At 45.3% G+C, this 26984-nt stretch overlaps 1 protein-coding gene across 4 annotated transcripts in view, besides 2 other annotated features; it reads right to left on the bottom strand.

Moving 5' to 3' along the window:
• Positions 1–26984, bottom strand: part of RPS6KC1 (ribosomal protein S6 kinase C1) — an 811495-nt gene that overhangs the window by 467444 nt on the left and 317067 nt on the right. For 2 of the 4 annotated variants that reach the window (XR_007058661.1, XR_007058662.1), the window contains one exon: positions 16410–16559. Coding sequence is in view for 2 of the 4 variants with exons in the window: in XM_047417936.1 (XP_047273892.1) it covers positions 16554–16559 (6 nt within the window). In the remaining 2 variants the exon portion in view is untranslated. Of the gene's footprint in view, positions 1–14783; positions 16560–26984 lie in introns of those variants that run through there. The other 2 variants (XM_047417936.1, XM_017001024.2) reach the window with 1 other exon arrangement.
• Positions 22496–23020: an enhancer, noted in NCBI's record as "H3K27ac-H3K4me1 hESC enhancer chr1:213545615-213546139 (GRCh37/hg19 assembly coordinates)". NCBI's record gives its function as "activates a minimal SCP1, AML or CMV promoter by ChIP-STARR-seq in primed H9 embryonic stem cells {active_cell/tissue: H9 hESC(primed)}" and the evidence as "EXISTENCE:reporter gene assay evidence [ECO:0000049][PMID:30033119]".
• Positions 23021–23547: an enhancer, noted in NCBI's record as "H3K27ac-H3K4me1 hESC enhancer chr1:213545088-213545614 (GRCh37/hg19 assembly coordinates)". NCBI's record gives its function as "activates a minimal SCP1, AML or CMV promoter by ChIP-STARR-seq in primed H9 embryonic stem cells {active_cell/tissue: H9 hESC(primed)}" and the evidence as "EXISTENCE:reporter gene assay evidence [ECO:0000049][PMID:30033119]".

The raw sequence follows: 26984 nt of genomic DNA, 5'->3' as shown, positions 1-26984 counted from the left end.
CATCTAATCTTTCATTACACAGAGGAGAACCCTGCAGCTGGATATTTAATACCTTGCCCAAGAATACCAGGAAATCACCCACCAGAGCCCAAACTCAATCCCAGATCTGTGGGGCTCTAAAGCTGGGATTCCTCCACCATCCTCCCTGGACTACAGACCCATGACATTCCATGTTCCGGGTTCCCAACACCTGCTATTGGCCAATGGCAGCCAGGGCAAGAGCAGGTGTGGGAAGCTGCGGCAGGGGAAGGAGGGTGGGAAAGGGCACAGCCGCTCTGCTAGAGAACTGGGAAGAACAGAGCTGTTTCTAGAAGCCCACGCCAGCCCTCTGTCAATAAGTTCCACAGTGCCACTGCACTGATGGTGCCCTGAGCCTCAGCATGAGGGGCAGCTGCACTGTTTCCTTCTGTGTGTGCAGTTCGTGGAGCTGGGAAGGGCAGGGAAAATCCCTCTTCCTCCAATATGCAAGTACAGAAAGAAAACAAGCTAAAGCTTCCTAGACTTGCGAGTGCGTGGAGAGAGTAAGAGCATATCCACAGAGGAGAATTTCTTCCAGAAAAGCACCCACGAACACCCCAATACAGCCATTCCCCCTGTGATGTTCATCCAACACCTCTCAGAGACCATGCTCTGCTGCAGGCATGGCCCATTTCCACCTGACTTCCCAGGCTGCAAAGACCTGGGGATAGAGGAGGAAGCTGAGGCACAGAAGAGCAAAGCCATCACATGCACTCTATAAGGCGTAGAGCAGTGCACCAAACCGAGGGAGGTAAGGAGCAAGAGTTGAAAGCAGTGCTGAGTGGCTGAAGGTCTAGCAACCAGCATTCCGAGGCTGGCAGTGGAGGTGGGGTGAGGGGTAGGGGGGTGTGAGGGGTGCATTCACAGTGGGAAGGCCCTAGTTTGCTGCCATTTCCAATTTCTGTAGTATAAATACTCCCTCGCCATGGCCGATTTCAAACTACTAATGGTTTAATACCTGGCTTGCAAATTTCTCTAAAGATTTAATCATTGGCACGAGCATGAGCTGGATCCAGAAAACCCCTGGAAAAGATGCTAGTTCACAGGGAGCTCGCAGACCAGGTTTTCAGGCAGGCTCCAGGAATCCACATGGTAAACAGCAATGACAACAGCCAACTGTATTGCCCCTTCCAGGACAGAACTTCGGACTCTGCACTCAGCTAAGCTGCCATGAGGTCACCCAGCCTCCTCCGTACACCCCTTCATCCTCCTCAGCCTCACAGCCAACCTGTCCACGGCTCCATGTCCCTTGGCCTCCCTTCCATTACATCTGTCTTCGGCTGTGGCTAATCCCTGCGCTGGTGCTCTAAATCACATGCCCTCGCCCTTCTCAGAGATTAATCCTCAGCCTCTCCCTCTCTCCTTACTCCTCCCCATCAGTGTTTGAACATGCCTTGAGATCTTCCATTTTTATTAAGCAAGCTTCTCTTGACCTTCCATCCCACTCCCAGGTCCTCCTCCTTCTCCTCCCTTTCACAAGCAAACTTCCTGAAACCATTGTCTGCCCTTACTCAATCCCATTCATTCCCCATTTCCTACCTTCTGGCTCCTGCCTCACCATTCCCCTGAAGCCTTAGGGAAAAGGCTAGCAAGGACTTTCTGCAGATATGACAATCTCATAGTCATTTCAAGGACCAAATAGCAAAAAGCATAAACAAATGCTTGGATCATCAGCGTGGAAAATGGCGATTATCCAAGTCCTTCCAGAAGGAATGCTAGTCAAGTCAAAAAAAGATAGTTGGTCTTTTTTGCTCAGAAGGTCTTTAAATTGCCTGTGAGCAGCAGCATGCAGGATGGTGATACATTAAGAGTGAGATTAAAAACTCCATAACAGCAAGGGGAGGAATTTGAACTTCGGAGTGAAGGGAGAAAAGACACAGGGTTAAAACCTATTGATCCGGGTGGACCAAAAGAGAAAGAAAAAGGGATTCTTGGTGGAATGGCAGCACCAATACCTCCAAGAAACTGTTTTTGGATCCCAAGAGATATTTAAGTGGGTGACTGTGAAGTATGCAATGTCAGCCCTCTCTTGTGTCTCTCCCATGAGACCCTCAGTAAATGCCATGAGGCTCACTAATGCATTAGTATGAGGGGGTTGAGGGAGGGGACACTCGAAGAGAAAAATAAGGGACAGCTGACATCTGGGTTACACCAGCTACAGCAGGGAGGAATGACAAGTGAATTCAGCAAAAATGTTTTATTTCCACATCTATTGTCAAGTCTAATTATTGGTTGAAATTAGAGGTTCTGCCCTGATCATGGCCATGAATAAATAAAAATATGTTTGAATTTCAGCAGATGTCGTTGAATTTCACACATATTTCTCTTTCCAGAAATGAAAAGAAAGAGCCAGCTAGCCCTCTCATACACCAACATCCGCACTTTAGGTACAGAAACTTGCTCTGGAAATGATTTAACTGACCAAATAAATATCAGTTAAATCAGAATTCCTGAATTTTCCTCCAGGCTCTGGAAGATGCATGCGTTGGTATTGCATCCAAACTCAGCAAGATAATGTCAGTTTGTGGGAGCAGTTTTCCTTGGCACACTACACATGTGCAGTACTCACATAGTCAAGCATTTAATCACATATAGCAGGAGCAAACTCTGGGCCAGGGAAGGCAAGTGGCATTGAAATAAATACAAAGATGCATAAGATGTGGCTTTTGTTCTTGAGAAGTTCATGAGTTGATGCCCATCCACATTTTGGAAGCTGTAATTCCATGTGTGACAAGATAATGTTGACATCTAAGTTGGGAATAAGGATTACTCTGTTCCTTTTCCTGTAATCTACCCTTAAGTTTTACTTGACAAAAGCAGTACAGCAGTATCCCCAGCCCTGACCCTCCTCCTCCCACCTGCCAATCCATCTCTGCTTGTATCGTGCCACCCTGGTGCTTTTGCTGCCACTGTTTGCCAGCCTCTACCAGTTGAGACCGGGCTGTAGGTGCTGTGTTACTATTTCTCCTGCCTTCCCTACTCACACTCTTCAGCAGCTGTTCATGAGCAGTGCTGCGTGCATAGTGGTGGTGAGTTTCAACAGCACCAGAAGCAGACCATCGGTTCTGCTGATAAAATTTTTAAAAATCTACGTGTAATGATTCAACAGAACCAGATTCCCAACTACATCATGGGTGGGACTTTTTCTGTACTGGGGGCTGTGCCTAATTAACCACTTCCCTGCCTACCAATTCACCAAAAGGCACAACTCCCCTATGGCCAAGCCCTGCTAAGGCTTTTGAAGCAGAAGAATTCAAAAAATTCAAAAACCAAATTGCTAAGAGTAACTATGAGAGGTCATGCAGCCCAGCTTCCTGCCCTCAGCTACATCATAGGAAGCGGGCCTCCCTTTTACTGAAAAGACAAGTATCTTCCTTGTCAAGGATGATCCTAAGGACAATTAACACATATTTGGCCCTGCATCTCAGACAGGAATAGAAGCAGAAATGAAGATAAAAGATATATAGAATAAAAATAATTCTTTGCATGAACATTTTTGGTCACATACTTGGTTTGGTGCTAGGCACTGTGATATATTCTGTCATTTAATCCCTAGGGTGAAATTACAAAATAGGTGCTATGATTCTACCTATTTCACAGATTTGAAAACTGAGGCACTAAAAGATTAAAGCCAAAGATGTTTGAACAGTAAGTGGCAGAGCCAAGACTTGATCCATGTCCAGAGCCTCTTTACCACCTGTATTCCTCTACTAGGCCTACCAGACAGGTCTGAACTGTACACCCACCCTGACCAAAAAATTATTCCAATGTGTCAATCAAACCAGAAGCTAGTCACCCAAGGTCTGACACATTTAACAAATGTTCCACATGCACGGACTTCCATCTCCTCTGCTTGTTTAGTTTACTTGTCAGGGTCTGATCAATCCATCAGCAAGTTGTACTGGTCTCTTGCTCTCAGCACTGCATGGGGAGATGTAGCCACAATCAACCTCCCCCAAGAGCCATGCTCTCATCTCACGTCTCACTCATCAACTCCCACATGCATGGCCCTCGTTGGCTGTTTGTCTTTCTGTGTATTTAATTATTCCAGTCCAGTCTCTACCAGGAAGTTTTTAAGCTGTTCAAGGCAAAGATCACATTTCTGCCTTTCTCTGTTTCCCTCTGTTACTCCTAGACTGCAAACAGGTGATGCTCGGTAAGTATGCACAAAACTACTGAATCTCCATATGACCCCAAATCCCAGTGAATTCAGGAGGTGAGTATAAGCTTGAGGTAACATCAGACAATTAGATGGGGGGAAAAAAAACTAGAATCATATACATCGGTATCACATATACCCAAAAAAGTGCACTTGGACCTTCTTTTTCCTCTGTATCCAGTTGTTTGAGAAGTATGGAATTATGGCCCCTCACCCCCACACATGCTATAAAACCCTTTGCCTCCCCAGAACATAATATATTTGGCTGCAAAATAAAGATCAAGGTCAATCCAGCTTTGCTCTAGGTCTGTAATTCCCAGGAGGGCAGGAAGCAATATTTCCAGGCAAAAATATAGAGCCCTCAAAACACGAGGTCTATAGATCCTTTGCAAAGTGCTTGTTTGTGTCGAGAAAATTTCAGCCCAATGAGAAACCAGATGGGTAGATGCACCAAATATTGAAGACAGGCCTCAAGGCAAAGCAGACACACACTCTCTCTGGTGTGCACTAAACTCAGAAGTGATCCTCCAGCCGTTACAAGCAGAGAAATGTCCCACCAGAGTTTTGCAAATAGCAAACTCTTAGTCCGATGATTGTTTCTATCATTTGCCATATTTTCTGTCCAAAAGCCTCTCTCGTGCCTACATGGTTAGCAGCTTTTATAGCCCCAGATAAGTGTCCATCCCTTTTAATTTTCATTGTTGCATCTGTTTTGCCATTTCTCTGCAGCAGGTTGTATTACAACGGAAGGATTAATGAGGAAATGGATGCAAACATTTTTATTTCAAATAGCAGCTCTCAGACAAGATCTGGAAAACGGAATCAAGCCATATGATTGTAAAAGAAAAAACCCTCGCCATCCAACTATTGGGCATTTTGCCATTATTTGTGAATAGCATGTAAATACAAACAACTTAACTGGGGTGGGGGAGAGATGTACATTTTTCATTTGTGTCTGGCTAATCATTTTTTTTATTATTAATTTGGTCCCTTTTATTTCACATAAATGTCATCTCAAGCAGCAAACATCAACAAATAAGATCGTTTATCTTGCTGGGGAAAGCAAAACATTGCATTGCCATTCAGAGAAGGCAGCTGACGTCCCTACCGCACCACTAATAAAGAAGGCCTTCAGTACGAAAAATAATCATTTTCTATTACTTTCCACCATGCCTCATCCATAAACACAGGGCCACTGGTAATTACATTTAGCGAAGAAGCATGCTCTGTGTATTACAATTTCCTGGGATGAAAAAAAACCCTAAAGAACACCCCAGATTCAGGGCTGAGATGAAGAGCAGGAGATAAACCCAGATTGCCCTTTGCTCGGGTGCCTCTGTATGCTATTGAGGGGCAGAGGACCGGGAAAGAGGGAAAGGAGGGCAGCATTTCCGTGAGATTTTCTCTTTCGTCTTCTTGGCCTGGGTAAAAAGAAAGGGAAGGGAGCCACGGATGTTCAGGAGAGAGCAGAGACTCAGAGCACATGGGGACCTGGAGCCCGGGCCTCGGGGGTGACACTGGTCTTGCTGCTGCCGCCACCATGCCCAAGCCGCCATCAGTGTGCACGCGGATGCAGACGCGAGACAGCCATGTCCACACGCATGTGCACGCGAGCCTCTTGTGAGCAGGGAGGTGGCATGGCTGCGCTGATAAATCCGCCGCAAGCCCGCAGACTCCACGCTTCCCTGTCGCCCAAGCATTTGGCTGGCCTGCCCGCGCTGCCTCCTCTGCCAAGCAAGGCACTGACTCCACAGGAGAACCGTCCTGTCGATCTCTGCAGGAATATAAGACCTTTTTTTCCAAGTAAAATGTTCCCCAACTCTGCAAGGGAGGTTGGCAGTACATCTCCAACTCTGGCCTGTCTTTTTAATACCCCTACAATAGCTCGGTTGGACTGAGACCAGCTGTTGGTACATTACCATTTGTAAATGCTTAAAACAGCTACTCCTTGTTTTCTTGGCAACACTGACTGTGGAAGAAAAAAAAAAAAAGCTAGCTCCAGCCACTTCCATTCAAACATTAAGAACCACTGACTGCCAGCTTTGGCATGCACCAGCCATTGTTTGCACAGCTCTCTTCAACAAGTTTCTTGTCACCCCACTATTCCTACCCAAACCCCCTCTCTATGAAAAGGAGAAAGAAAGTCAGCATAAAGCAGTCCAGTCCCCTTCCCCTTCATCCTAACTCTAGCTCTCACTGCCCAGGTAGTCAGGCCTCATCTGAAAGAAGACAGGGGAGCCAAAGTGAACTCTCTTTGTTTGGTCTTGTCTTTTATCTGTTTCTGTAACCCTCCCTCGCCAGGGCGGTCATCATCTTACAGGCCCCCGCTGAAGATCAGCATCTCCTGATGTCCCTGGGAAGTGACTCCCAGGGTGATCTCCTCCTCCTTCTCCTGCCCTGTGACTGTACCTTGCCTGGAACTAGCACAGGGTCCCAGCGAGGGAGATAATTTAGGGGTGATGAGGAGATGGCCAAAGTCCAAGTCTCCCCTCCAGATGGGGCTGCCCTGAAAAGAGACTCTTGTTCCTGGTGCATCCCTCACCTCACCAAAGCCCTCAGGTTTTCATTTGCAACCAGAGTCAGGTTCCCAAAATCGATACTTGGCTATGCAAAATAGAAGAAGAATTGCATGAAGAATGTGGGAGGCTCTTTCCTGCCCCCCACCAGGCCCCCACCTGAGTGGCTGTTGGCTGGGGCAGCGTCCAGGGCCACATGCCTATCCAGCTCCCATGCTCCACACACCTCAAGCGGTAGCAGCCCAAGAGAACAGGCACTGAGGTGCCCAGCATGGCCGCAGCAGGGACAATAGGCTTTGTGTGCCACGTCTTCGTGCCCTTCTGTTCAATGACTTCCCCCGTCCAAGGGCAGTGGTGGCTGCATCTGTCCTTGCTCCTTTAGTGGGGTTTCTGGGCACAAGAGGGAGAGGTCTGTCAGCATCATGCATGCTCTTGGAGATCAGTGAATTCAAGTAGCCAAATGTCGCAGCAGGATTGAAATTCCACACACAAGCTCCAAGAGGAAGGAGAATGCCCAAAATGGGGCCCAGGAGGGCCAGCAGTTGGGGGGACAACTCAGCCTGAGATTAAAAACTCCTATGCTGGTTTTATGGAAATATGATAGAGTCAGTTCCTCACACTGAGGTTAGGAACCCAGAACAGATAAGGCAAACCAACAGATAACCCAGACAGACTAGACAACTGGTTTAGGAGCAGGGCACACAGGAAGGAGCAACAGACAATGAGCCTGGGCCCTGCCTCTTGCCAGCTCAGCCACCAAAAACATCCATGTCTTGTGTCAAGGTCTAAATCACCTCATCTGTAAAAATCCAGAAGTTGAGTCAGATAATTGCCTAGGTCCCTCCATTTCTAGAATGCTATGTCATTGTCTTCCTAATTTTCTTTAGCTTCTGCTAACAGGAGTGTATGTATGCCCCACTCTAAAAACACCCAAGGTACAGAAAGTCAAACACTAAATTTGAAGGTTCCTTTAAAAAGTAAACTCTCTTAGTACGTTAGATATCAGATTTACAAAAACCAACATATGCTCAACTTTTCAGGAAAAGAGAGTAAAGTCCTTTGAACTGAGGCTTTCAATTTCCAGGCCTGGTACACAATAGGCTCATTATGAATAATGTGTGTTGAATGGGACAAGTTGGATGTGCAAAGTGGAGTCCCCAGGAAGCCTGCACAGGTGACTTAAGAAAACAGAAGTGATGGTGATAGGTCAATCTGGGACTAAAAATTGGCCACAGGCAATTGGAAGTCAGGCAATTACAATGCAAATGAAAACCTTAAACCTATGGGTTTTATAAAACCTTGCAATGTGCTTATTACTACTAAGACAGAAAATGCCCTAAGATTCCCTCAAATATGAGTCGGTCTGGCATATTGGATACAACTCCCTCCAGCAACCCTGCTACAGATAAAGTCTCAGTAGAGCTTTGTCTGGGATACCCTGATTAACTCTCTAGATCCTCTTCATGGTTGTTGAACTGTCTTCCCTACTGGGCTGAAAGCTCTTTGTGGGCTGGTGCTGTGTCCAGCTTGTCCATATTGTGTTCTCAAAGACTTGCACAAAAGGCGCTCTAGCAATAGTTGGTTGGTACTAAGGTAGTTTGAGAGAAAAAGATGCAAGAGCTGACTCTCTGCCCTCAGATCCCTTCCTCTCATCGTGTCTAAAGGCCTTGATGACTTTACTTGTAACATCTATGGAGATGGTTTAAAAAAATGACAAGGACACCTTCTGACACCAGAGAAAACAAGCAATTCCACAGTCATTAAGAGCCAGAGGTGAACTGAAGGACCAGGCCAGGCAGGGTCTCTGACCTCAGCTCTGACATATGGCAGCCAGCCACTGATCCCTCAGTTGGTTAGATCTCAGCTCCACAGAGCCATAGAGGAGACGTAAGGGAGTTGACTTTGCTGCATCCGAAATCCCTACCGAGTCCCCCAACATCTGCCATCAGTGATGAAGAGGCTGTGTGAAAGAGGACAGGTGAGTTAGCGGCATCCCTCCTGGATGTAGATGGAAGACCTGCAAAGTCTTCAAGCCGCAATGGTGAGTCAGCCGTAAACACAGGACAGCCAGCCCCACTGCGATACAAACAGCAACAAGAACAGTAATATGGGCACTGTGTGCAAAGCAAGGCTCTAAGCACTTCATCGATCTCATCCTCATCACAGCCCTGAGAGGGAGGTACGGTAACAACCCACTTTGCACAGATGAGGAAACCGAATGTCTTTGTCCATTTGTTTGCCATAAAGGAATACCTGAGGCTGGGCAATTTATAAAGAAAAAGAGGGGTTTTTTTTGGCTCATGATTCTGCTGGCTGGAAGACTGGGCATCTGGTGGGAAGCCTCAGGCTGCTTCCACTCATAGGGAGAGTGAAGGAGAGCCAGCATGTGCAGAGATCCCATGGCGACAGAGGAAGCAAGAGAGAGTGGAAAGGTGCCAGTTGCTTTTTAACAACCAGCTCTCCAGGGAATGACTGGAGTGAGAACTCCCTCCCTCCCTTGAGGACAGCACCAAGCCATTCATGAGGAATCCGCCCCCATGACCCAAACACCTCCCACCAGGCCCCACCTCCAACATTGAGGATCAAACTTCAACATGAGGTTTAGGGGCACAAACATTCAAACTACAGCACTGAGACACACAGAGATTAGTAACCTGCCCACAGTTAGACAGCCAGTAAATAACTGAGTGGATTCAAATCCCAGCAGCCTCCACTCTTAGCCGCACTGTCTTCCTGGAAGGCCACCAGTCGAGCTCAGCACCTGTGAACAGTAGCAGCACTGAAGGGCTTGTTCACACCACACAGAGCCCTGTAGTGTCTAAGGAAGTGGAACAGAGGCCTCAGGAAAATTCCCCAAATTGTCAACTCAGTGCACCTGTCCTGGTGAGGTCTACTGTCATCAGTAGCAATCTATTTAGTCAGCATGGAGCTAAGAGGAATATCCTCCAAGTCAGTACATAGGTCCATAATGCCACCAGCTTCTTGGACACACAGGACATATGCATCCTACAAATCCCCACTCTGTCAAGTCCTCAGCTAGTGAGGAGAAATGCAATACCATCTTCTTTATTTTGCCTATAACATCCTCCACCACGTCAATGTTACCATACAGTATCAAATCTCCATTGAAGGCAGCATGGCATGATGGCTAGGAGAATGGAGTCAGGAGTCAGACCACCTTGGTTCAAATCCTGGCTTTACCATTACTAGCTGTGTGGCCCTGGGCAAGTTTCTTCACCTCTCTGTGTCTCAGTTTCCTCACCTGTAGAATGGGAATAATAATAGCACCAACCTCCTGAGGATGTTGTGAGTATGAACCCACAACCTTCTCCTGCAAACACTGTTGTGTTCTTCTGTGCCCAATTTGCTGCCACACAGGCACAGTCCTGCCCCTAAAGGGCCCGGACACCACCTCTTTCCTATGTTCAGTCGCTTATCATCATCTGTCATCTTCTATTTTTAAAGTTACTGCTGCTGTCATTGCATCAAAACCCCACCATTAAGAATTACATTCTTGACTCCAGAGCAGTATAACATCATGGGAAGTTTTGGAATCCAGGTGGAACCCAGTTCAAACCCCAGTCTGGCAATGTGGGATCTGGACCCATTATTCAGCCCCCCAGGCAGTAAAACATATGACCCTAAGCACAGGCTCCAAAGTCACCTGCCTGGGTTTAAAATCCCTGCACCAGCATCACTAACTGTGTGACTTTCAGCATGTCACTTAAAAGCACTCTGCTTCAATGTCCTCACCTATGAAATGGGGATGATATAAAAAATGTACCTTGTGGGGTAGTTGTGCGAACTGAGTGAGAATATACCTGTACCTGGACACCTGCAAGTGAGAAGTGAATGTCAGCTCTCCTCATTTGAAACCCAAGGCATTTCCTTGTCTGTAGAATGGAGATGGGGTGGCCTCCTGGGGGAGGGAAAGTGGAGAGCCAGGCAGGGGCATCTGTGTGAAGCTCTAGGCAAAGACCTGGTGACAGTCGGCCTTCGATAAATCACCATCCCCTCCTGCCCTCGACACCTTCCCGTGGTGGCTTCAGTTCACCTCTGCCCTCCACAGACCTCCTAACCATCATGCAAGCCTCCGACCACTGCACCTCCTCCATAGTCTGCCAAGATTCATCTAAAGACATCTTGGCTCTTCCCCATCACAGACCTGGAGGCTCCTCAGTCTCTCACCCCTCTTCCTCCTGGCCACATCCCCTTGACCTCCCAGACCACAGATACTCAAGAAAAATGTCAAACCTTCATGATTTTCTTTACTATGTGCCAAACACCATGCTGAGATTTATATATATATATATATTTTTTTTTGAGATGGAGTCTCGCTCTGTCACTCAGGCTGGAGTGCAGTGGCATGGTCTCAGCTCACGGCAAGCTCCACCTCCTGGGTTCACGCCATTCTCCTGCCTCAGCCTCCCTAGTAGCTGGGACTACAGGCACCCGCCACCACACCCAGCTAATTTTTTGTATTTTTAGTAGAGACAGGGTTTCACCGTGTTAGCCAGGATGGTCTCAATCTCCTGACTTCATGATCCACCTGCCTTGGCCTCCAAAAGAGCTGGGATTACAGGCGTGAGCCACCACGCCTGGTCAAGATTTATATTTTTATATGGATTAATTCCCCTGTCTCAGCTTAGTCTTCATAACAAAATACCATAGACTGGGCAGCTTCAACAAAAGACATTTATTTCTCATAGTTCTAGAGGCTGGGAAGTCCAAGATCAAGGTGCCAGTTGACTCAGTTTCCCAAGAGGGCTGTCTTTCTGGCTTGCAGACAGTCACCTTCTCACTGTGTCCTCAGGTGGCCTTTCCCTGTGTGCGTGTGCATGCAGGGAAGGGTAGGGGTGGGGGTGGGGAGGAGTGTTCTGGTGTCTCTTCTTATAGGGACACTAATACCATCAGATCAGGGCCCCATCCATAAGACTGCATTTCACCTTAATTCCTTCCTTAGAGGCCCGGTCTCCAAATACAGTCATACTGAAGGCTTGGACTTCAAAATATGAATTTGGGGTGGGGGACACAAATATTTAGTCCATAATACCTCCCAATTAATTCTTTGAAGTGGGTGTAGAGTTTACAGATGCGGATATGAAATTCTTGCCCTGGAGCACACAACCAGCAAATGGGCAGTCATCCCAAAGGTCTACTTTCAAGGGAAGGGCCTCACGCAGGTCATGTTGCCTGGGCACAGAACTCCCAAAGAGCCCCTCGAGGGCTGTGGAGATCCAAGGTAAAGGGGGCTTCTGGTGGGATGGGAGGGCTCCAAGGAAATGCCCCTCTCACCTCAGACTTTCAGGAAGGTTGCACATGACTCCATGAAAGCCTGTTTTAATTTTGAAAATATCCTTTCACATTCCATCGACAGTGAACCAGGTAGACCTGGTCCCCATTCAGGGGGGGATTTCAGTGTAGCGGAGGGTCACAGATGAAAAGACAAACACAGTACAGAGCGGACGGCCGGGGGTCGACACTCAGCAGGACACACGACCCAGCTTGGAGGCTCTGTGGGGCAAGAAGGAGGAGACTTCACTCTTCCACAAGAGGCTTCGCTTATGCACTGGCAAAGGCTGAATGCCAATCTAACCCGTGAAGACAAACAAAACTGGCCAATCCGTTATTCGATTTATTTGACCATGATAACAGAGGTTAAGAGTGCCGAGTCCTGCCTTCCACCAAAATGGCCTCAACTCAATCCATTTTGCCAGACCATCATTATCTACCAGGGGCAAAGCCCCATGCTAGGCACCAGGCAAGCACTTAGGGATACCGAAAGGAGAGGCCCTCCCCACAGGAAAATGGCTCGAACGGGTGTCCAGCACAGCGATGAAAATGGCCTGTGCCTTTGGCACCCTTTGATGGCTGAACTCTGAGATGAAAACCAAACTCAAACCTCAGGCTTGACCTTGGTTTGGCCTGCTGAAGGTCAGGAACCCCTCCTGCCCTCCCAGTCTGAGCTGGAGAGGTGAGAGGAAAAGACAGAAGGTTTTATTATACCACCCAGGCCACGCCTGCCAAGTTCTCCCTACAACCGCTTCAAAAAAAAAAAAAAAAAAGATGGAGTGAAAGGGAATTGGAAAAATGGAACCCCCTACATCCCAGAAATATTACTTTCATGAGCTGTATGAATTATTTAACAGACAGCTGAAAAGACCAAACTCAACAGAAGAATACAAAAAACCAGCTCGCCATACAGACACCTTCCCCAAAGCCCATGACAATGAAATGTATTTTATGCCACAGATCAACATGCCAGAGAAGGAGGCTTCGGAGACAGATGCCCACAGGGATCATTAGCCCCTTATCTCTCAACCCTTTGCCACCAGCATCCAGATCTCTGAGCCTGGGCAACCCAGGGGGAGAAAAGCTGAAAAGTGTGTATATTGTAAGTGTTGGTTAAACAACCCCACCGTATTCTTATTTGCTGGAGGTTTTAGGGAGCAGATGTAGGACTGGCAGGGCTTGGAGCTGGCGATATTGTTCTAGCTCAATCAGAGCCAACACGGAAGGGAAAAAAGCCACACACACAAACACAAAAAAATCGGCATTTGGTGTGTGCGCCTGGGTGTGCACACTCGCCTCTGTGCCATCCCCTCGTCCAAGGTTCCTTGGAGTCGAGCTGACTGATGCAAAACCAGTCTGGGGCCCAGCCAAGAAAAACACAACTTCTCACAGAAGCTGCACGAGGGTGTCTCTCCATGCAGCTCAGCTCGCTGCAAGTCTCCCCTCCTGCAGGCGCGAGGGGGCTGGGGCGGCGACTCGCCCACTGCAGGCTTGGTGCTATCGGTTGCTAGAGAAAGGGCAAACAAATGGAGAACCAACTATAAAGGCGGCCAGCAGCAGCGAGGCAGTGCTGCAGCTGCCAGGCAATAACTTAGATAGTTACAGCTGCCATCACCTAGTTCATGCAAGCTTTTTAATATCTTTTGGCAGCTCTCGGTGTCACAGCACAAAGGGAGAGTTGGCACTTCGCAGCACACTTTGTTTGACATAACTGTAGGCAGGACCCAGCTGATACCTTCAGTAAAGTGGATGGGTTTGCTCTTAAGGTGCATTTCAGCAGATCAAACGGGGTTTCTCCCCACCGCTGCCTCTCTCTCTCTCCTCTCCTGCCCCCCTCCTCTCATTCAGGGCACGCAACACCCCTAAATCACATGTTGGGAACTAGATCAGATTAATGGGGGGACTCGGCAGGTGCAACATAAGGTTGGCCCCATAAGCACCCGGCTAAGGAGGAGAGGAAAGCAATGCACAGAGGACAGGGAGCAAAGAAAAGAAGGAGCGAGGAGGAAAGAAAAATACTGTGCTCCAGGACTCGTCCCAAGCCTCACCAGGAGATGCGGTGTTTGCTCTCCCACTCCTCCACACACAATTTTAAATAAATCAGAATCCCACTATCTTGCTTCCTGCTCGTCACTCTTTAAAGTTATTCGTCGCTTGGCCACACACCCTCTTCCCAGTCCCACAAGAACCCAGCCTGTTCCAGGTATCTCTCTGCCCAGTTGTGACTGTTCCGAGCGCCAATCGTTAAGAAAGCAGTTTGCAGAAGCACTTCCCAAGCTCTACGAGTTGTCATGACAATTTCCTGTGATCCCTCCGCCAAGCCAGGCATCCTTGTTTGGTGGATCCAGGCGCCTTGCTGGGGCTGGAAATGGTGTTCCCTAAGACCCCACGGCACAGATGGGCATGAAGAGAACATGTGGGCAGAAGGGGACTAGAACAGGAGCCCTGAGACATGAGAGGGAGAGAGGTGGACAGACGCTCTGCCCAGGGTGAGCTGCGGATGGCGGAAATACTGAGACGAGGAAGAAGAACCATCACTGCTCTGGTCTCAGCACCCAGTCCTTTCACCCCGCAGCACATTTCCTTTTGTTTTTCTTTTCCAGCTACATTAAGGAATGATTGACAAATACAAATTATATATTTTCAAGGTATACAATGTAATAATTTGATAAATATACACATTGTATAATTATTATCACAAATTAATCAATACACCTATCACCGCACATAGTTACCGTGCGTGTGTCTGTGTGTCTGTGTGTCTGGTGAGGGCACTTAATATTTACTATTTTAGCAAATTTCTTTTTTTTAACTTTTATTTTAAGTTCAGGGGTACATGTGCAGGATGTGCAGGTTTGTTACACAGGTAAACATGTATATCATGGGGGTTTGTTATACAGATTATTTCATCGCCCAGGTATTAAGCCTAGTATCCATTAGTTATTTTTCCTGATCCTCTCCCTCCTCCCGCCCTCCATTCTCCAGTAGGCCCTATTGTTGTGTTGTTCTCCTCGCTGTGTCCATGTGTTCGCATCATTTAGCTCCCACTTATAAGTGAGAACATACAGCGTTTGGTTTTCTGCTCCTGCGTCAGTTTGCTGAGGATAATGGCCTCCAGCTCCATCCAGGCTGCTGCAAAGGACATGATCTTGTTCCTTTTTGCGGCTGCATAGTATTTCATAGTGTATATATACCACATTTTCTTTATCCAGTCTACCACTGATGGACATTTAGGTTGATTCCATGTATTGGCTATTGAGAATAGTGTTGCAATAAACATACACATGCATGTATCTTTATAACAGAATGATTTATATTCCTTGGGTGTATGCTCAGTCATGGGATCACTGGATCGAATGGTATTTCTGTCTTTAGGTCTTTGAGGAATTGCCACACTATCTTCCACAATGACTGAACTAATCTACACTCCCACCAAGAGTGTGAAAGCATTCCTTTTTCTCCACAACCTCACCAGAATGGTTATTTTTTGACTTTGTAACAATAGATATTGTAACTGGTGTGAGACGGGACCTCACTGTGGTTTTGGCATTTCTTTTGTGCATCCCTCCAAGCAGCTGCTCCAGTTGCCTGCAGGATACCCTTGGAGGAAGGCACCAGGAAGAGAGGGAGAGGAGGAGTCACAGGGTTATCAAAGATGACAATGGTGTATGCGTTTGCTAGAGCTGCCATAACAAAGTACCACAAACTGGGAGGTTCAAACAACAGATACTTATTATCTCACAGTTCTGGAGGCTGGAAGTCCATGATCATGGTGTCAGCAGCATGAGTTCCTTCTTGGGGCTAAGGCGGAATCTGTTCCAGGCCTCTCCCCAAGCTTCTGGTTTGCTGGCGATCTTTGGCATTCCTTGGCTTGTAGTCACATCACTTCAATCTCTGCTTTCATCTTCACATGGCACCCTCCCTGTGTATCTGTCTCCAATTTTCCCATTTTTATAAGGATATGGATCACATTGGATTAGGGGCCTACCCTCCAATGTGACCTCATCTTAACTAATTATATCTGTAATGACTCTATTTCCAAATAAGGTCACATTAAAGGTACCGGGGATTAGGACTTCATCATATGAATTTGGGAGAGACAGAATTCAATCTATAACAATTGAAGATCCACACGTACCAGGCCTTTAACAGTCCTGTAAGGTAGGTGTTCTCATTCCCATTTCACAGAGAATGAAAGCAGGGCTCAGAAAGGTCAAGGGTCTTGCCTGAAGTTAGACAACAATAGGACCATCTGAAAACAACCACCCAACCCTTGCCGAGAACCTGGGGGTTGGCCACTGCCACACTTCTCCCCTAGGACCCTAGCAGGGAACTCTCTCCCCCTCAGCCTTCTCTTGATGAGCCACCCTGTCTAGGGTAGCCTGGCCTAGGATCTCTGTCAGATCCCAGCATAAATCACTCACCAAGCTGTGTTTTCTCCAGAATGAACATGGCAGGTGACCTGTGAGGTGTGCCTTGGATGGATGTCGGAGGAAGGGCATGTTGGGCTAGGGCCTCGTTCTCTTATGCACATACTGCTCTTGCTTGGCAGGATTCTTCACTTCTTCTCAGCTCTAAAGGAAACAAAATATTCTGGCCTTTATTCTCACGCATTCATTTCACGAATGAATAAATATGGATATATAAAATATGGATATGTGTATCCATCATTTATTTATTAAATAAAATAATGGTGGGGCAGTACCTGCTACATAGTTTGGGTTCAGTAAACATCAGTTTCCTCTTTCCTTTTCAACACATTTCCAAACTTTCTCTCCCCACTTTCCCTGCCCTCTGCTCAGGGAGCACAAGCTTATATCAAGACGAGAAAAACACGAATGCAATTTAGCAAGCAAAGGCTATGTACATGACCATCCCAAAACAAATAACTAAATGTATTTATTGATCACTCACTTCATGCCAGGCATTTTTCTAACCAATGAGTTGAATTAATCCTCCCACCAGTCCCATAAGGAGGACCCATTATCATCCCCTCTTTACAGATGGGGAAACAGAACAAAAAGGCAAAGTCACATGGCATAATTCCTTGAACAAAGCCAGTTATTCTAGAACTCTATTTTTATTTTACTAACTACAGTTTCACACTTAGAGGGAGAGTTAAATTAGGAGAAAGTCACAGTTGTGGTTGTCTGGTAGGTACTGCAATTATCAGCTTACAACAGCGTACCTCAGTTCCTCAGATGGCAATGCCTCCATTAAGCAAGGTTGCTGGGTGGAGGGCCCTCAGAGCTGCCCTAACAGGAGCTGGGGAAATAGGTCTCTCAAGGGGCTTAAACCTTGCTCCTGCTATTTGCATTATTCTTTACTTGCCAAATCCTTCTTCCCTATATCGTGTCAAAGTATAAATTGTTATCCCCAAATGCCAAGTTTTAGGACTAAAGTCCCAATGTGTAGGATTTTCCTATTTATTCAAGGTTTGTCAAGATGCTGTCAAGCTCAGAGGTAGGGCTTCCCCATGAAGGTAAGAAACATATTCAGCTGCCAGTTCTCTTCCTCCCAAACTGAGCAGGAATATTTTTATTTCCTATTTTCCCACCCCCAATCAGACATGTAGCACCTCTTAGCCTTGTCGTATTGAATGATTTTAGCAGTTTCCAAAACAAAATTAAATACAGCTCCAGCTTGAGAAATGTTCCACCTCCTGGAGTCATGGCATTTAGTATTATTATTCACTTATTATTATTCAAAACAAATAAGGATGATAAAACATCAGTTGGAGCCACTCCAGGACAGAAGGAACTGGAATATCTAATAAAAACCATAGTATTCCACAAATAGAAAGTGTTAGAAAATGCAGAAAAACAATGACAAAGGACATTCTGCACCTTCTCCTCAAAACACAGAACACCTGAAACAATAGAGCAGCTCTAAATGACCAGTGAATCTGACACAGAGAGAACTGTTTAGGGTACTCCCAGTTCAGACCTCAGAAAGATCAAATCGATGGGAAGCATGCAGCACAGAGTAGGTCATGATTTTTACTTTCCTTCCCTCTCTTGTGAATTTCAACGGAACTTCCTTCAAAAAGTCTAAACTCCCTGCAGCTAAGGAGAAAAGGTTATCGCATTCAGGAATTTGCTCTCCACTAGAAAACATCCAATGACCCCCACGTTCAGGAAGTCTCAGAGCCTTTAAAGCACATTTCAGCCTGAGCAAATGTTTAACTCCAACTTGGGAAAAGTCACAGGATGTTGCAAACCACCAACATCCCAAGACGGGCCTTCCCAGACTTACCTTCCCAGAGGAGAATGTGGCAGATTAGTGGTTTGGCGACTCTTACTTGGTCCCCAGTGCAAGGTGGTCAGGAATGTTACACAGATTGAGAAGCCAACCTTTGCTGAGGTCCCCCCGACCACAAGCCCTCCACCTCATTCTTCTTCTCCCTGATTGTCTCCAGTCCTGTATTATCTCGCACTACTTCCTCCAGCTTCATCTGAAGAGAGCCTCATTCCTGAGATGCCTAACTTTGGGGGTGTTGATTGTTACAAAGTAGCAGGGTTTACTTGTATGGTTCACTCTACCTAGATCTATTTCCAGAAAGAAAATAGGCAGAGACAAGGCAAACCTGGAGCCCCAGGGGACCCCCTAATTGTCTGTCTGCCCACTCTCTGCACTGCACAACCATCAACTCCTACTGCCATTTCCAGTTAGAGAAGGATAGAAAGGGAAAGAGAAGCAGAGCAGGAGGCAAAATCGGAGGAACGGTTTGCATCAATTTTGAAATAGGATGAGGAACTGTGGGACCATATCTTTTTTTTTTTTAATTCTCAATAATGTACCTAATTCTTGCATGAAATGAGGAAAACTGTCTTCTACCATCGCATTACTCATGATAGCTGAAATTTTTTAACACCTCAACATCATTAAGTATGCAATTTTAAAAAAAATAGAAACAACCTAAATATCTAACAACTGGGAATTTGCTAAGTAAATCCAAATTATTGAATACAATGCAATAATTCAAAATGCAATTTACAAAGATTTTAGGGACTAGGGAAATGCTAATGACATAACATTTAGTTAAAAACAAGATTCATTTACATACAGTTTAATCTCAGTTATACAAATATGGAAAACATATACAGTACTAGATATTGTTTTGTCTGCCAGTATCTACTTTCTCTGTCCTTGTTTCCAGCTTTTCTGGAAACTTTACACACACACACACACACACACACACACACACACACACACACACACAGTTGTCACGAGAAGAGCCATTATACACAATATGGCTGGCCCCTGGCCACAGCTGATTGGTCCAGGGTGGACATCTGACCCAAGCCAGGACAATTCTCTCCTTCCCCAGTAATTCTGGAATTGGAACTGAGGGAGTCTTTCTCTTTCCAGCAGCAGAAACGATAGGACAGCATGCCTAGTAGTTGCAGCTGTGGGCCCATGTGTCTGGCCCTCTGGGCCAGAGACCCCCCAGCAGCCAATCCATAAAAGTAGAGCGGGGAGGAGGCAAATGCAGAAAGGAAGAAACAGTTAGAGAAGGAGTGTCCTGACAAAACATAGGTCCCCCTGTCTTGCTGTTTCTGAGCCCTGGCCACATTTCTGCCCTTGGGGTGCATGAGACAGACAACCCCAGATCCTTATAATCAAGCCACCATTTTACCTAGGTCTTTTGAATTGGATTTCTGTCACTTATAACCAAAAGAATCCTAACCAATATGTGCTCCCTCAAATGCCCAATTACTTATACAATCTCCTACATCCCTCAACATGTTCTTGGGGGTGGGGGATCCGATGGCAAGTGATTTCTTTTTGCTTTTCTGTGTTTTCCCCCAAATTTTCTATTATGAACACTTTTATTATCTGGCATTCAGCATTCACCTCGAAATCTACCACCTTAATTCACTTACAACAGATATACACACTTTGCACGAGGTTAAGAGAAAACCTTATCAGAAAATATGTATTTATTAAATATGTGTGTATATGTGTGTATGTGTGTATATATGTGTATATGCCTATGTGTGTATGTGTGTATGTATGTGTGTATATATGTATGTGTATATGTGTGTATGTGTGTATATATGTGTGTATGTGTATGTATGTGAATATGTATGTATGTATATGTGTATATGTGTATGTACATGTGTGTATGTGTATGTGTGTATGCGTGTATATATGTGTATATGTGTGTATATATGTGTATGTGTATATATAAGTATATGTGTTTATATATGCGTAGATGTGTGTATGTGTGTATGTGTGTGTATGTGTGTACGTGTGTATGTATGTGTATGTGTGTGTATGTGTATGTATGTGTGTGTATGTATGTGTGTATATGTGTGTGTGTAGTAATAGTTGTTGTCGTTGTAGTAGTAAATATATGAGACGTAGAAACCAAAAATCCTGGAAACTGTTCGCCTTTTAAATTTTCCCTCCCCATCACACACGTTCCTGGAGGTCCAGGGCCAAGGCCCCCCTCCCAGAGGCCTCTGGAGGTGTGTTGCAGGCCCTTCCCTTTCTGTCCCCAGCCTAGTCCTGACCTGGTCTTCAGGCCACATTTCTCATTCCAGCCATTCTGGGATCTCTAGTGATTCATTATCCGAAGGTCAGCCATTTGTACATCTCAACAGAAAGGGCAGGAAAACTTCTACCACCTTTCCACGTGGTGTGATCACGTCTCTTTTCTTCCCTTGCTTCTCAAAGTCATTGCCATTTTGGAATTTTGGTCTCTCCTGGCATGCCCTCCCTCTCCACTGAAGCTTTCAAAACCTCTATTCTTTGGAAGCCCAGAGCAAACCCTCTTTTCTCACCGAGAATCAGAAAACTTGGCTGGCGCACCCCCTAGTGGTGGCCTAATGAATCCCCCTCAATTACTACAGGGTACAACCCCTGGGGTTTCTCAAAGTGTGTTCCATTGGACCTTAGTTCTGCAGAAAAATAGCCTAAGAGAAAAGTATTGTATGTTAAGTGAGATTTGAAAACACTGGGATAAATAAAAGTTATCAGTTTGCTTTAGTGGAGGACGTCTTCAATTCTTTAAATATACTAATGAACACTGTGAATCTCACTGATCCAGATTTATTTGATTGAACTTTTGTGAAATAATAGGATAACTATCATTTATTGAGCATTTACTATCAACCATAGTATTAGCATTTATAAATAGAGAAATTGATACATGAGGTGGTCAAATAACTTGCTTCAGTTAGGTTCACATGACACCAAGGCCCATGCTCTTAACCATTACAAGATCCTGGCTTTATGTTTGCTCCAGGATGTTATTCTGCAAATTCTACTTATACATGCCACTCTTATTCCCTATATTACCAGTCAGGAATACTACAGATTACCTCTCTATGAAACAAGAAAAGCAGGAGCCTTCAAAGGATACAGAGGTCTCCCTCACTGCCCTTGGGAAGCTTCTGGTTTCGGTGGCGATAAAGGGAAATTCACTGTCTAAATGCCACAAACAGATCCTTCTTGAAATTATCAGCAAAGAGGATGTGATAGGGCATCGTGTTAAAGATCCAGATACATATTTTCCAATGATATTATGGGAAGGTGCAATAGGCTACTTTTTTATTTCTTCTAAGAGAAGCTTGCTTTTGAGCCCTAAATACTTGTTGGCCTGCTTTTATAAGCAATAGGATATTCTGTATGGATATCTGGTTTTATATCTGTTAAGAAATGGAGATGATAATATGCCCCCTCCCATTTTTTTAAATTGTCAAATACATAATATGTTGTAAACCTTAATTCTGGCAGCATAGGTTACTTATGGATGGGTTTTCTTTTTTTGTTGTTTTGTTCTGATTTTTTATTTTTTATTTCATGTAAAAGAAACCCAAAAGTAGTTTATTGACATACATAACTGAAAAATGTAGGCTTCAGGAACAGCTGGATCCAAGGGCTGAAATAAGAACATCATTAAACCCAAATGCATCGTGCCGTACTTGGATTTTTAGAGAAAGGAAATAGCACGTAGTGCTCTAAATATGTCCTGGTCCCTTGTCCTAATTAACATAGAGAAATGAACAGATAGTTGTATGGATGTCAGGATTTAAGGATGGGCCCCCAATTCCAACACTGGCCCTCCAGCTACCCTTCTTAAATATCTGTGTAAAGACTTGATTTTTCCATCTGTAAAAATGGGCATGCTACCCCTCCTTTTTGACCTCAGTGGAAGCTGAAAGAAGCTGTAAAGTTTTCAAATGCTTTTTCGTTAGAGGATTAGATATTGTGATAATTTTTTCGCTATTAATGTTCACAGAGATAGCACTTCACACTGGCAAAGGATTTTCTAAGTATTTATTTGTTTTACAAATTTATCATTTAAAACTCCACAATTAGCTTGTCAAACATACACCTTCAACATTACAACCACAGTTTAAAGCCAATCAAGCAACAAGAGGAGAGAGGGGAATACAGATATTTATTTATATATATTAAATATGTATGTATTTGTATATCTATCCTTCTATATTTAAATTCACATTGTGTGTGCATGTGTGTGTTTGCAAGACACATATAAATGGCAAATAAGGAAACTTAAAAAAAAAGAGCGATAGATGGATGGTCCCAGATTTTAATACCACCCCCAAGGTAGAACAGGTGGTGAAAATATAATAAAACATGTTGCACGGAACTTGTCATGAATTTTAAAAACAAAAATGCCTACAGACCAAATAAACTGCTCTGACACTGGGCTAAATCTGAAGTTCCCAAACTATTTTAAATGACAAAGCGAAGTTCCCAAGAGAGGGAGTTCAACAGAAATGGTTAGAGGGCAATTGCTGCTGAACTCACACAGAAAAAAGCTAGGGTAGACGGGCAGACACCCAGCCTGCTCCCCCTCGACAGGATGGGCCACACGCAGATGCCCAATCCCGTAAGGCCAGGCCTATCTATGTGCAGGACCAAAGGGCCTGTTGACAAAGGCCTCAGGGAGCCTCCTGCACCTGCATTCCTGCCTGATAGGTGGTTTCTCAATAGATCTGAAGGCAAACATTAGGGGCATTTGCCCAGAAGCTGAGCTTATGCTTGTCAACAACCATTTTCAGGTGCCCTGTTAGAAGGTGGGCTGGAGGCCGCGGCCCAAGTGGTGCAGGCAGACACCCCTCTCTCAGCAGCACCCACCTGCACAGGTCCCACCCATTCATTCATCACAACAAGCAGCCTATCCTTTATTTTCAGTCAACAGTTTATGAAGAGCTTCCACTTCCGCTGCCTGTCTCCATTACAACAGAATTCCTGGGAGCTGCACAGCAAAGATGGCAGGACTCCATTTTGCAGTAAGGAAGAGGTGAAGTGATTTGCCCAAACTCACAGAGGTGGAATGACAGACAGCTCAAGATTTCTGACTCCTGTCCAGTCCTGTGACTACTGGAGTATGTTCATGAAGACCCTCCAGGATGATGGCGAGCAGGGAGTGGGCATTCTGGTCCCCCTCCCCCAGACTCACAAGTTCAAATGCCTGGAGAGGTGAGGTCAGGAGTGGAGGAGGTCAGTGTGCTCGGCAGCTAACCGGAAAGCCTGTGCCCCATTTCAGTGCAGGCCACTGCCTTGGCCCAGCAGGTTTATGTTATGCAGAAGTGGCAGGGTTTCTTATTTTGTAAAGTGAAAGCCAGAGATCTGAATCATTATGTAAAATATCTTCATTTTTAAATATTTGCCAACCACTAGGATAGCCACTATTAAAAACAAAAACCAAACAACAACAACCAGAAAGTAACAAGAAGATGTGGAGAAATTAGAATCCTTGTGCACTGTTGGTGGGAACGTAAAGTGGCTCAGCCACTATGGAAAACAGCATGGCAATTTCTCAAAATATTCAACATACAGTTATCAGATGATTCAGCAATTCCACTTTTGGGTATACACCCAAAAGAATTAAAAACAGGGACTCGAGCAGATATTTGCACACCCATGTTCATCACAGCAGCCAAAAGATGGAAGCTGCCAAAAAGTCCCATTGACAAATGAACGGATCAACAAAATGTGGTGTCTACATAACAGTGGAATATTATTCAGCCTTAAAAAGGAAGGAAATTTTGACATGCAACAACAGGATGAGCCTTGAGGACATCATAGTAAGTGAAATAAGCCAGACACAAAAAGACAAATACTCTGGCTCCTACTCTACGGGAGGTACCTAGAGTGGTCAAATTCACAGGGCCAGCAGGTAGAAGGACAGTTGACAGGGGCTGGGGGTAAGGAGCAAGGGGGAGTTGTTGTTTAATGGGTATAGTTGCAGTTGTGCAAGAAGGAAAGTTCTGGAGATTGGCTGCACAACCTTGTGAATGTACTTAACTCTATTGAACGGTGCACTTAAAAACAGTTAAAGAGATCAATGTTATGTGTATTTTACTACAATTAAAAATAACCACACTGTATGAATCTAACAAACCCATCTGCAGACTGCTTCAGGTCATGGGGCACGAGTTTGACATCTCTGCCCCATTCTGGTACTCAATGCCACTGCCCTGTCCCCCACCCCAAAGGCCAAGATGAAATGCATTAGAAGAGGGCCCATCTAGAGTAGAGTCTCTCTACAAAGAGGGTCAGCAAACTTGAGTTTACATCCTGGCTCCAACTCGCGCTAGCAGCAAGACCTTGAGCAAGTCAGTCATTTCATCTCTTCGAACCTCAGTTTGCTCATCTATTGAATGGGACTAATAACACTTCCCTTGTTTCCTCGGCCCTCTCAGGGCTCTGGCTCAGTAAGAGCATGTTGGCCTCCAACCCCATTTAATACCCCCATACCTCTTCCATTGAAAGCTATTCTCTCTCTTCCCATGCTGCAGTGTGGTCATGTGTTGCCCCATGAAACTGGGGGCTCTCAGTTTAGGCTTGACTATTTCATACATCCCGAAGTGCACAAGCCTGTAAGTGCCCAACAAATCTTATTGAATCAAGCAGTTGGCCAGCCAGCTTACTGAGCACTAATTATGTGCCAGACATTCCACCAGGTGCTGAGGAGACCCATAAAAAATCATGTTCTTAAAGATGTATCCTGGTTGTGGAGACAAGATACATGCAAAAAAAATAAAATAAAATAAAATAAAATAAAATAAAATAAATAAAATAAAATAACAGAGAAGCAGGTAAGGTCCAAACTGTCTTAGTACAAGCAAGAGCCTGGGGTCCCACCACCCCTGAGAAGGAGGTAAGAGAAAGAAGAGCTCTTTCCCTGTCTTTTGCACAGCATCTTTTTGAGCTTTTCTTGGCCCTGGAGGTTAGAAATTCATCTTCCTACATTGCAATTGCTTCGAGATAAGACCATCCTATGTCCTCAACACAGGCACCATAGTGAGTGAGAGCAGAATTAGGGCAGCTCTCCTAGACAGATTTGGCACCATCTTACACGCTGGCCTAGAGGGTTTCTTGAGGAAAATTGCAGGCTGGACCACTGTGGCATCTTCCTGCCTATAAAGCCAGGAGGGCTGAAGCTCTCACTTCCCCCGAACCCAGGCCCTCAATTCTCACCCTGATTAAATGGACAGTTCCCTGGGTCGACCAGGTCGAAAATATGTGCTAATTCTCTAATCTGACTTGTCCTTGGAGGTTCCCTCCCCATCCTGCTGGCCACACCAGCTGCCTAGGGGAGCACAACTGAGAAGATATTTGGCAATTATCCAGTTAATTTGATCAGTGGAGACAGCCAAACAAATAATCCAGGCCAAAAATGTCCAGATCAGCTGTCTACATGGATCAAATTCCACTTCACTGACACCACGCAGGTTCAGCCCTAAAGAATGGGTTTCACTGAGAAACACATCCCAGTATCCCGGCATGCTAGGCTGCACCAGCCTTTAGTGGAATTGCGAGCTTGGCTGCATTTCTCTGTGACATCCTTTCCATTCCCATTCAGTGCCCTTCCCACCCCCAGGACTTTGGCCCCATAGGGCCAGGGGTCTTTGGTAGCTGTCAGGGGCTAGAATATTCTTGTGTCCATCTCCTACTCTAGGTATTTGAAACTCATTAGGAAGAGACTTTCAACATCTGAAATGCCTTTGAAAATTAAAGGAATAGCAATGTAATGGTAGAATGTCAGGATCCAAACAAGCCAAGGTGCAGGAAGGTATGAGAAAAGAAATCTCACTCATGCCCTATAACTTCAACCATCTTAGAAGTTGCCTACTCCATACCTCCCCCAGCCCACTCTTCTCAGGTCTTATCTGTAGCATACTGACTCCTCAGCATGACAGAAGAAAACTTTGGATCAATTAAGATCAAGTTCCACTATGTAAACAGAAAATCCCGAATCTCAGAAGCTTATAGACAAGGACTTAATCTCTAACATAAAGTAAGTTCAGAGACAGACAGTACGCAACTGTGGAAGATAACACACCTAATTCTGACTTTGCTATGGTGGGCCTCAGCCTTATTTCCTGCTAAGGTGTTGATTTGGAGATACTACATATTAATAACTCCTACTTCATCTTGCACATAAAAACCGACAAAGCTTCAAATTATAGGAATCTCAATCAACTTAGATTGCAGGCCGCAGGCTGAGAACACCTCCTAAGCAAAGCAGCATTTCTCTCCATATCTGTCCGCAGACTGGCCAGCTCTCTTTTGCAGGACTTTGCTAGAAGTGGCAAGAAGGAGACAGCAAGCCAACACTCTTGCTGTCATTCTGAATTTTTGCTGCCATTTCCCCTAAAGCTACAGCTTCAGTCAACTTACGGTTTGCTTTCCCAGTTACAATAGGCAACAATTCAATCAAATGCTCTAACAATGCACAGCAAGGGTCCCCACATTTCTAATTTGCAAAATCTGAGCTCTAAATATCTGCCTTCCCATCTCCTCCCCTAAGTCAATAGCACATTTTAAGTTATGTTTCTTATAGGAGCCCCCTCCCTAAGAATCAAATTCTCTATTACTTTAGGATGAAGTTCAGCTGTGTATAGCAGGCGCGGAACTCACAAGGACCTACCCTCTCGTGTAAAAGAAGCCCAGAGTTAGACAGGACTGGAGGCTCCACAGTCATCAGAGATCTGGGTTCCTTCCACCCTTCT

Source organism: Homo sapiens, chromosome 1, assembly GCF_000001405.40.
Source record: "Homo sapiens chromosome 1, GRCh38.p14 Primary Assembly".
In the NCBI taxonomy this organism is placed as follows: domain Eukaryota; kingdom Metazoa; phylum Chordata; class Mammalia; order Primates; family Hominidae; genus Homo; species Homo sapiens.
The sequence above is the reverse complement of the archived record's forward strand: the minus strand, read 5'-3'. Positions and strand labels throughout refer to the sequence as shown.